The sequence below is a fragment of the Homo sapiens genome, chromosome 7 (genome assembly GCF_000001405.40).
Source record: "Homo sapiens chromosome 7, GRCh38.p14 Primary Assembly".
Lineage (NCBI taxonomy): Eukaryota > Metazoa > Chordata > Mammalia > Primates > Hominidae > Homo > Homo sapiens.
Window position 1 is genome coordinate 144,848,564 of NC_000007.14, and position 10,965 is coordinate 144,859,528.

Here is a 10,965-nt window from a genome sequence, read left to right on the forward strand (position 1 = left end):
CAGAATGGTGTTTCCTAGGTTTTCTTTTGGATTCCTGTAGTTCGAGGTCTTCCACTTAAATCTTTAATCCTCTTGAGTTAAATTTTGTAACTGGTGGCCGGGCGTGGCGGCTCACGCCTGTAATCCCAGCACTTTGGGAGGCCGAGGCAGGCAGATCACGAGGTCAGGAGATCGAGACCATCCTGGCTAACATGGTGAAACCCCATCTCTACTAAAAATACAAAAAATTGACCGGGCACGGTGGCTCATGCCTGTAATCCCAGCACTTTGGGAGGCCGAGACGGGCGGATCGCGAGGTCAGGAGATCGAGACCATCCTGGCTAACATGGTGAAACCCCGTCTCTACTAAAAATACAGGAAATTAGCTGGGTGTGGTGGCCGGGCGCCTGTAGTCCCAGCTACTCGGGAGGCTGAGGCAGGAGCATGGCGTGAACCCGGGAGGCGGAGCTTGCAGTGAGCCGAGATCATGCCACTGCACTCCAGTCTGGATGACAGAGCAAGACTCTGTCTAAAAAAAAAAAAAAAAAAAAATTTGTAAATGGTGAGAGGTGGGGGTCTAGTTTCATTCTTTTGCAGATGGCTAGCCAGCTATCCCAGCACCATGTATTGAATAGTGAGTACTTTCCCCATTGCTTATTTTTGTCAACTTTGTTGAAGATCACATTACTGCTATTGGCTTTATTTCTGGGTTCTCTATTCTGTTCCATTGGTCCACGTGTCTGCTTTTTTACCAGTACCCTGCTGTTTTGGTTACTGTAGCCTTATTGTATAGTTTGAAGTTGGGTAATGTGATGCCTCTGGATTTGTTCTTTTTGCTTAGGGTTGCTTTGGCCATTCGGCCTCTTTTTTTGGTTCCATATGAATTTTAAAAGAGTTTTTTCCTAGTTCTGTGAGAAAGGACATTGGTAGTTTGATAGGGATAGCATTGAATCTGTAGATTGCTTTGGACAGTATGGCCATTTTAATGATCATTTTAATCATATTGATTAGTCCAATTCATAATCCTTGTTTGTGTCATCTATGATTTCTTTAAGCAATGTTTTATAATTCCCCTTGTAAAGATATTTCACCTCCTTGGTTAGATAGATTCCTAGGTATTTTATTTTTAGTTTTTGTTGCTATTGTAAATGGGATTGCATTCTTGACTTGGCTCTCAATTTGAACATTATTATTATTATAATTATTTTTTAAAGAGAAAGGCTGACTGCCACATGCAGTGCCTCATTCAGATGTGTCTGGAGTCTTGGAAGCTTTACTACCCTATGTTCTCCTACAAATGGATTTTGAGAGCTTGTTTGGAGGTTCTAGCAGGGAGTGCAGCCATTGGTACACCCTTGAGTGAAAACAAGTCCTCCTCTGTCAGGGATGGTCATCCTCTTTGACCAACCGCACAGCTTTGGGAGGAACACACATGGAGCTGTGAGGGAGAAAGGGGACACCTGCCTAGCCAGCCAGATCAGCTGAATCAACCCTGGTGATTAATGGGGTGACAGATGTCACAACCAGATCGCCCTCACCTCTGAGTTTGAACATTATTGGTGTATAGAAATGCTACTGATTTTTGTATATTGATTGTGTATCCTGAAACTTTACTGAAGTTGTTTATCAGCTTCAGGAGTTTTTGACAGTCTTTAGGGTTTTCAAGGTATGTAATTCTATATATAATGTGTGTGTGTTTTATTTTTTAAAAAATGTTTCTTTTATCATAGGTTTTCAGCAATTTGATTGTGACAGTTTATTTGTTTGTAGCCTACTTGTACTTTATTGAGCTTCTCAAATCTGTGGGTTCAGAGTTGTAATCAAGTTAAGAATATTTCTAACCATTATTTCTTAAATAGTTTTTTCTTTCTCTGTTACCTCTTTCTGCCACTCCCAGTACACATATGTTATACTGTCTGATATTGTCTCAAAATTCATAAAAGTCCATTCATTTCCTGTCAGTCTTTTTTCTCTTTGTGCTTTGGTTTGGATAGTTTCTATTGCTATATGTTGAAGTTCAATGAATTTTTCTGTTGCAATTTCTTATCTTTGGATATATAAGTCCTTTGACTTTTTTATTTCAGTTATTGTATTTTTCAACACAAGAAGTTCCATTTATTGTTGTAAAAATATCTTCCATTTTCCTTTTTTTTTTTTTTTTTTTTGAGATGGAGTCTCACTCTGTTGCCAGGCTGGAGTGCAGTGGTGCAATCTCAGCTCACTACAACCTCTGCCTCCCGCGTTCAAGCAATTCTCCCACCTCAGCCTCCTGAGTAGCTGGGACTACAGGCGTGTGCCACCATGCCAAGCTAATTTTTGTATTTTTAGTAGAGACAGGGTTTCACCATGTTGGCCAGGATGGTCTTGATCTCTTGACCTCATGATCCACCTGCCTCGGCCTCCCAAAGTGTTGGGATTACAGGCATGGGCTACCACGCCCAGCCCTCCATTTTTCTTTAAATCCTTGCACATAATTATAATAACTGTTTTAGAGTCTCTATCTGCTAATTCCGTTGCCCCTGCCATTTCAGGATCTCTTTATTGCCCTTTTGCTTTTCTTCCTGGTATAGATCAAGTATTTCTTCTTCTTTGAATATCTAGCAATTTTTGTTTAGATGATGGACATTATAATTTTTATGTGGTTGAGTGTCTGAATCTTGTTTTCTCCCTTTAATGATCTTAAAGTTTGTTTTGGTAAACAGTTCAGTTAAATGTGGATCAGCTGTACTCTTTGGAGGTTTGTCTTCAGGCTTTGTTAGTATGGGTCTATGCTACCCTTTACTTTAGGACTATTTAGTGCTAGTACTAAGGCATGCCTCTTGTGAGATCTCTATTGAATGTCCTGTGAAGTTAACAGCATCTTTTCCTTTTTGGGTGGTAGGAACTCTAGTATTTCCAAACCTGGTATGAAACCTGGAAATTGTTCAGCTTATAATTTTCTGGCTATTATACTTTGACTGGTTTTATAGAGTTTTACTTAACACATGTCTAAAATTGAAAAATATTAGAATGGATCTTTCTGCAGAGTTCTGGAGCTTTTTTTTTTTTTTTTTTTTTTGACACAGAGTCTTGCTCTGCCACCCAGGCTGGAGTGCAGTGGCATGATCTCGGCTCACTGCAACCTCCGCCTCCCAGGTTCAAGCGATTCTCCTGTGTCAGCCTCCAGAGTAGCTGGGATTACAGGCATGCACCACCACACACGGCTAATTTTTGTATTTTTAGTAGACACGGGGTTTCACGGTGTTGGCCAGGCTGGTCTTGAACTCCTGACCTCAGGTGATTCTCCCATCTCGGCCTCCCAAAGTGCTGGGATTACAGGCATGAGCCACCATGCCCAGCCTGGAGCTCTTTTTCTGCATGGTTCCCTGGTACTCTGCCCTTAAAATACCTGCCACTTTGAATTCCTAAAATTCTTATCTCTTATCTTTTCATCTCAGTGAAGGTGTTGGCTTTACTTTTCCCTCCCTATGCTGTAGTCTGAAAATTAGCTCCAGATGGGATGCTGAGATGATCATAGGGCTATTTTGGTTTTATTTTTTCCCCCCACCCCTCAAGGATCACAGTTCTGCTCTGTGTGTTGTTTCATATATTTTGCCTAGTTTTCTAGCTGTGTATGCGGGAAGGCAAGTCCTTTACTATATACTTTTTTTTTTTTTTTTTTTTTGAGACAGAGTCTTGCTTTGTTGCCAGGCTGAAGTGCAATGGCACAATCTCGGCTCACTGCAACCTCCATCTCCCGGGTTCAAGTGATTCTTCTATCTTAGGCTCTCGAGTAGCTGGGATTACAGGCACTCGCCACCAAGCCCGGCTAATTTTTGTATATTTAGTAGAGACGGGTTTTCACCATGTTAGCCAGGATGGCCTCAAACTCCTGACCTCGTGATCTGCCCACCTTGGCCTCCCAAAGTGCTGGGATTACAGGCATGAGCCACTGCACCTGGCCACCATATACTTTTACATGGAAGGAAGTAGAAGTTATTTCTAGTAAGTTTAAGATTAAAACTTAATTTCTGAAAAGTTCGTTAGAAACTCCGTGTTCATGGTCAGGAGTTTCTGACTGTTGGATACACAATAGAACGGGTAATTGATTTCATTACCCTTCCCAATAAAAGTCATTATCTGTAGAACCTTTCTATTGGGCATCTTATTTTGAAACTCAGCTATTCCTGAGTTCAGGTCTTTTTTGGTTAAGTGTCTTCAGAAGATAAACCTTTGATTTTCTCTTAGGGTGGTCCAGCAATTCTCTCTTTTTTTCTGTTGTTTAATAGTATTCTGAAGATATTTTTCACTTACTTTTGATATTTTCAGAATTAGTTTTAATTTAAAATCTGCTTGATCTTTTATTCATACTGTTTTATGTTATTACGCTGCCTATCTTTCTTTTACTTCTTTAATCACTTTAGGTTTATTTTGTAGTCTTTTTCAGATTGTTATATTATCTGTACTTTGTAGGTGTTAATACTCCTGTTGGTTGTATTACAAATAACAAATATTGTTATTTGTTTCCTTATATGTTTTAAAATTTGTGATTATGTGTAAGCAGCAGTTTTTTATTTGCTTATGACTGCAGCCTTTGGATTTTATATACATATGTATATGCATATATATACATATACACCTATATATACATGCATATACACACATACATAAAGCATATTCATACATCTATTTATATATATTTATACACTTATATATTTAAATTTAATCAGCGTTTCAATTTATCTATAGATGCATCTTCCATATCAGTTTAGTCTGAAATATGGCTGAAATATGCCTGGAATTTCTTTGAAATGTTGGGATGATTATGTACATTTGGGTGTGCTTGTATGTAAGCAAGGGAGAGGAGGAGTAAAAAAAGAACAGTTTTGTTTTAAATTACAGAGAAAAGGTAGTACACTTATTAGTGAATTCACATTCCTTCTCTGCATCAGAACTACTCTTCCCTTGTGAAACTTGATTACCTCTTCCTTGTACACATGTATCCAGCCACACACTGAGTTATTTTAAATGTACCACCTAAAAATTTCTCCAAGTTGTACGCTACTTTCTCCTTATTTCAGAGCTTTAATATACTTCAATGGATTTAGGCAATATTTCCTAAAAACGAAACAAAAATCCCTACATTCTGTCGTGTTCCCTCTTGTCCTACGTGGACTGCATAGGGATCTCTCTTAAACACAAGTCTGATCATGTCATTTCTCGCCTGAAATGATTGAATAGTTTCCAACTACTCTTTGGATAAAGGTGAAAATCCGTAACATGTCCCAAAGACCAGCATGTTCTGTTCTTGACTCATTCTATAGCCTCATATACGACATTTCTTCAGCACACTAACCTTTCAGTTCCTCGGGTGCACCAAGTTCCCTTCCACACACTACTCACTCTGCTTATAATATTTCAGAAAATTACAATTAAATAGGCCGGGCACGGTGGCTCACGCCGGTAATCCCAGCACTTTGGGAGGCTGAGGCAGGCGGATCACAAGGTCAGGAGTTCCAGACCAGCCTGGCAAATATGGCGAAACCCCGTCTCTATTAAAAATACAAAAAAAAAAAAAAAATTAGCCGGGCGTGGTGTCACATGCCTGTAATCCCAGCTACTTGGGAGGCTGAGGCAGGAGAATCACTTGAATTCGGGAGGTGAAGGTTGCAATTAGCCAAGATCGCACCACTGCACTCCAGCCTAGGCGACAGAGTGAGACTCCATCTCAAAAAAACAAGAAAAGAAAAGAAAAGAAAAGAAAATTACGATTAAATTCTTAATCCTATAATATTTTAATTAAATGTCTCCATAAACTGTAAGTTCCAGGAAGGCAGGAACCAGTCTTGTTCCAGTTCTTAAGCAGGTACTTGGGACACAAAATATACTCAATAAATATTTGTTTAAAGAAGGAAAGTTGAAAAGAAGGACATGAAATAGCAAGGGATTTAATTTGAACGAGCTTTTGTTAACGTGAAATTGATCCAACTATAAACTAAGGTAAATAATTGACAATACATTCCATTCTATTTTGATAAGAAAGGAAAATAAATGAACTTGTTTTCTCTCCTCAGTAAAGAAAAAAGACATTTAGAAAGAGGACTTAAGGAATAGAAGTGGAAGTATAAGCATTTTACTACCTTCTTATTTTCACTAATTCACTTATCATGGAATGAATTTTAAAGTTGCAACTTGAGATCCTGAGACAATTTCTTCCTACCACTACCAATACAGCCAGTTCCGCTTAGTATGACTTATTATGTTTTTGGAACATTGTTTTAATAAAGTAGCAACTTTTGGGGGTAGTTTATAATAATAAAGAATTATATAGGTCTAAGTTTTATAAGAGAAAAGAAAGAATTATAACCTCTCATTTTTAGTTTGCCATTGTGCCTTTTTTCCCTTTTTCCCCTAAAGTAGAGTTTTTAATTAGCATTCTGCTTTTCAATTAATAAAAACATTGTGTATATTCAGGCGCCTTATACAAAATTATTGATCCTTACAGTAGAGGGCAGCAGAGGAGCACATCTCAAGACAAAAATCCTGGGATACATCCCAAGTCCCCTTGTTAAGGCTCCCCTTGGAATGATGTGTGGCTAGGTCATTAAGAGGAAGACAAGCAATTTGAGAAGATAGAAGTTGAGAAGCGATAGTGACTATGAGGTGGCTAAATATCTCAAAATTTGGAAAACTCAAAGAATTTTATATGTCTTGATTTTTGAACATATATATTTTATATCTTATTCCCCTGGACAGAAATATGCATGATGTGCATAATATTATTAACGGTAGCAGACCCTGGCTTTTCTTACTTTCTGTCTTTAATGGTTCACCCTTGCTTTTATTGAAAACCCAAAAGTGATGAGTTTTAAATGGGTTTGTGTTTATTACACAGATGAAGGGAGTTTAAGTATAAGCTGTAAACATTTTTGATCCTTCTAAAGATCATACTTAGGAATTAATTTCTATGTTTTGTCATCTAATATTTTTCTTGTTTGCTTGAGTGAACTAGGAAGGTTACTGAACTTAGAGAAAGAAATATATTCTGTGGCATTGTATACCTTGGACTATGAGACACGGCAAATCACAGAGGCAAAGCACATGCCAAATGACTCCAAAGATACTTCTGTTGACTGAGAAGCAGTGCAATGCAGTGTTCAGCTACGACGAGGCTATCAAATGAGAATATGTAGGTTTCATGGAATTTATATAAAGCCCTAAAGTCGGTAAAGCTTGAGAGATGGAGCTATCATTTATTTTTTAGCTTCCCTGTCACAGGAGGAATTAGAAGTTGAAAGGAAAGCAAGTGCGATGTTCTGGTTTATATACTTGGTTGTACTTTTAGGCCAATCACACAGAGTCACTTTATTTATTTATTTATTTATTTTGAGACAGAATCTGGCTCTGTCACCCAGGCTGGAGTACAGTGGCACGATCTCGGCTCCCTGCAACCTCTGTCTCCCAGGTTCAAGCAATTCTCCTGCCCTCCTGCCTCAGCCTCCCTAGTAGCTGGGATTACAGGTGCCCACCACCATACCCGGCTAATTTTTGTATTTTTAGTAGAGATGGGATTTCACCATGTTGGCCAGAGTGGTCTTGAACTCCTGACCTCGTGGTCTGCCCTCTTCGACTTCCCAAAGTGCTGGGATTACAGGTGTGAGCCACTGCACCTGGCTGAGAGTCACTGTTAAAAGGGAAATATGCCCCCTTATTTACGGGAAAATCTGTTCAAGAGTGGTGCCATCCGTAGTACCTGGAAGACTTGGATAGTTCTGGATATCCAATAACTGGATATCAAATAATCGATGACATTTGGCCAGAGAAAGCCCCCACAAAAATTTATGCTGCAAAAGGGAAACATTATTTTCTCTACTACACTAAAAAATTACTGTAATACAATAGTTTCTATAGCGTGGAAGCAGATTATCTTCAGGATGTTCATTTTTGTTCAGTTAGAAATATATTCATCTGTAGAATACAATTATTTTGATAATAATAGCCACAATTATAATAATAACAATAGCTATTTGTATTGATAATAACATAATTCCACACTTCACAAAGTCCAAGATACATTTTTTTTTCATCTTCACATATTGTCATGACACTTTTGACCTTGGGAGCACCTATAATTGATGGTGGGCTACAGTCATTGTCAGCCAGGAGGGACTTAGTTTCCATTGCCTGTGAATGCACAGGTCATTTATAGCTGTTTATGCCATATTGAAAGATACTGTGCCCACAGAAAACCATAGAAACAGATGTGTGACATACAATTAAGTATGTCTAAGTAAGGTTAAAAAAAAGATCTTTCAGTAAGTATAAAATAACAATTCTAAGGGATAAGAAAGCATTGTTATAATTTAGGCAGTATTTTGTTTTCCCTGTTGGTACATAAAATAATGGTGTGTGTTACAACCAGTGGTGTCTCAGGTTTCATAAAATACGATATTTTTATACACATTTAATTATTAAGGAATCTGATGCTCAGAAAGACTAAGAAAGTTTTTTAAAAAGCACAATGAAATATAGTTCCATGTATAATGAGTTGCTACATAGTCTAAATAGACAGGTTAAAAGTGACTATTTCACACCTTCATTCTTACCTTCTTTCCCAATCGAGTTTTCCTTTACAACTGTTCACATACTTATACCTATTAATATAAAAATAAAGTTACACCTTCATAAATGCATTTTTAAAAAAAACACCCAGAATGCCTATTGAGAACAAAAAAGGCAATCAGGACTATGATGTTCTGTTGTCACAGAAAATGGATTCTTCAAACACTAACAATTAAAAAGTTTATTTGATTAATCATTAAATTCATACATAATTAAAATAAATTATGTGTTATGGGAAGTTTATACCATGAAGCTGCTTAAAACCCATAACAAAGTTTAAGGATTAACCCTATCCAAAACTTGATTGTCTGAACATTCTTGAGTGCCCTATATATTTTTTAAATGCACTGATATAAAAAATAGAATATTTTATTACAAATTTTATATCCTCTTGTTATCACCAATTTCATGTTTCTTTGCTCTCCAAGTAGAGTGAGAGTATGAGACAGAACTTGGAAGTCAATACACTCAGAAAGCCAACTGGCCCAGTAAACAATAACTGGTCATATTTTGTAGGATCACGTGACAGTTTTAATGTCCAAATAAGCATCAGGCTTTGGATCCAGTTCAAATTCACACTTAGCTTTTACCTCTGGCAAGAAAGTTCTAGCTGCAGTCCTCATTTATCACATGCCTACAAAGAAGGCACTTTCAGGTGCTGTGGGCCTGCATCATTATGTAAGCTGAGATTTTGTTTGATTCTGCAGAGTGCAGAGATGGAATTCAATTTGAATGCTGGCATTTGAAAGAGAAAGGCATTTTACTAGTGACCTTGAGGATAACTTTCTGCCAGAGAGGTAAAGGCTATCTCATGCTAGGTTCTGGTGTTGAAGGCATTATTTCCTACGAAGTGCAGAGCTATTTGCAAATATCGTGTGCTGTGCATTACTAAGCAATGCAGATGGCTCTGTGTATTTCACTCCCTGGTGATTTACTTGGGATAAATAGAAAGGGTTTCTTGGAGGTAAAAAGCACCAAAATAGTCTACTCTTTACATTTCACAATTAGACATTCATTTGTTCTAACAAAGTTCTCTTTGGAATAACAATGCCATTTGCTTTAATCAGAGAGGAATCTAGCTGAAATCATTCCCAGGGAAAAGGAGTTTTAATTTAAAGGGAAGAATAATTAAAATAGAGGAAAGGCTACAGAAGTAGGTGGACAAATATTCACAGATATATTCTTTATCTCTCTGATGTCAACAATATCTATCTCTCCATATTAGTGTTTCTCTTACTCATTGAAATTTCTAGTAAACAGGGGTGGGAACGTTTCTACACATAAACTAGGCCATTTAACAACAACTCAAGAAAACAAAGTTTGAAATGCATTTGTTTTTTGGTCAATGATAATTGCATTTACGCCTTGAATTTAGACTGATTTACATGTCTACGAGTGGTAAAATGAGTAGAAGTTATCTTTTGATTAAGAATAGGGAAGAATTTTTAAAATCTGGGATTCTCCATTAATGAAGTATTCAGTTGTATGTAACTCAACATTTTCCAGCAATGGCTGAGCAGCTACTTGTTAGAGATTGGGTAGAAGGGTTAGATATTAAAATGGTTTAATCATTAAAACTCTGTTATTTTCCCAATACTTTATAAAACAAAAAAAGATGAATTTTATGAACACTATTTCATGTCATTCAGTAGTAAAATGCATTTGAAACATCATTAATCCATCTTTATAAAGGACCAAAACTTTGAATAGCTTCACTTGTCTTATATTGTCTTGGCTCAGTTCAAAACATAAGAGTTCTTTGAGAATCACTTGAACTCAGGAGGTGGAGGTTGCAGGGAGCCGAGATCGCACCACTGCACTCCAGCCTGGCAGCAGAGCTAGACTCCGTCTCAAAAAAAAAAATGATAAGAGTTCTTTGAACCTTAGATTTTATTTATTTACTTTTATGTATCTATTTACTTATTTTGAAACAGAGTATTGCTCTGTTTCCCAGGCTAGGGTGCAGCAGGAGATCTCAACTCACTGCAACTTCCACCTCCCAGGTTCAAACGATTTTCCTGCCTCAGCCTCCAGAGTAGCTGGGACTCAGCCTCCAGAGTAGCTGGGATTACAGGCGTGCGCCACCACACCCAACTAATTTTCATATTTTTAGTAGAGACGGGGTTTCACCATGTTGGCCATGCTGGTCTCAAACTCCTGACCTCAAGTGATCCACCTGCCTCAGCCTCCCAAAGTGCTAGGATTATAGGCATGAGCCATTGCGCCTGGCTTTAAATTTATATATATGTACACATACGTATGTATACACACACATATGTGCATACATGTGTATATACATACATGTGTATATATACATACGTGTGTATATACATACATGTGTATACATATATACATACGTGTGTATATACATACATGTGTATACAT

General features: G+C 37.6%; 1 pseudogene; it reads right to left on the reverse strand.

Annotated features, from left to right (window-relative positions):
- Positions 1,191 to 1,520, reverse strand: RN7SKP174 (RN7SK pseudogene 174; annotated as a pseudogene).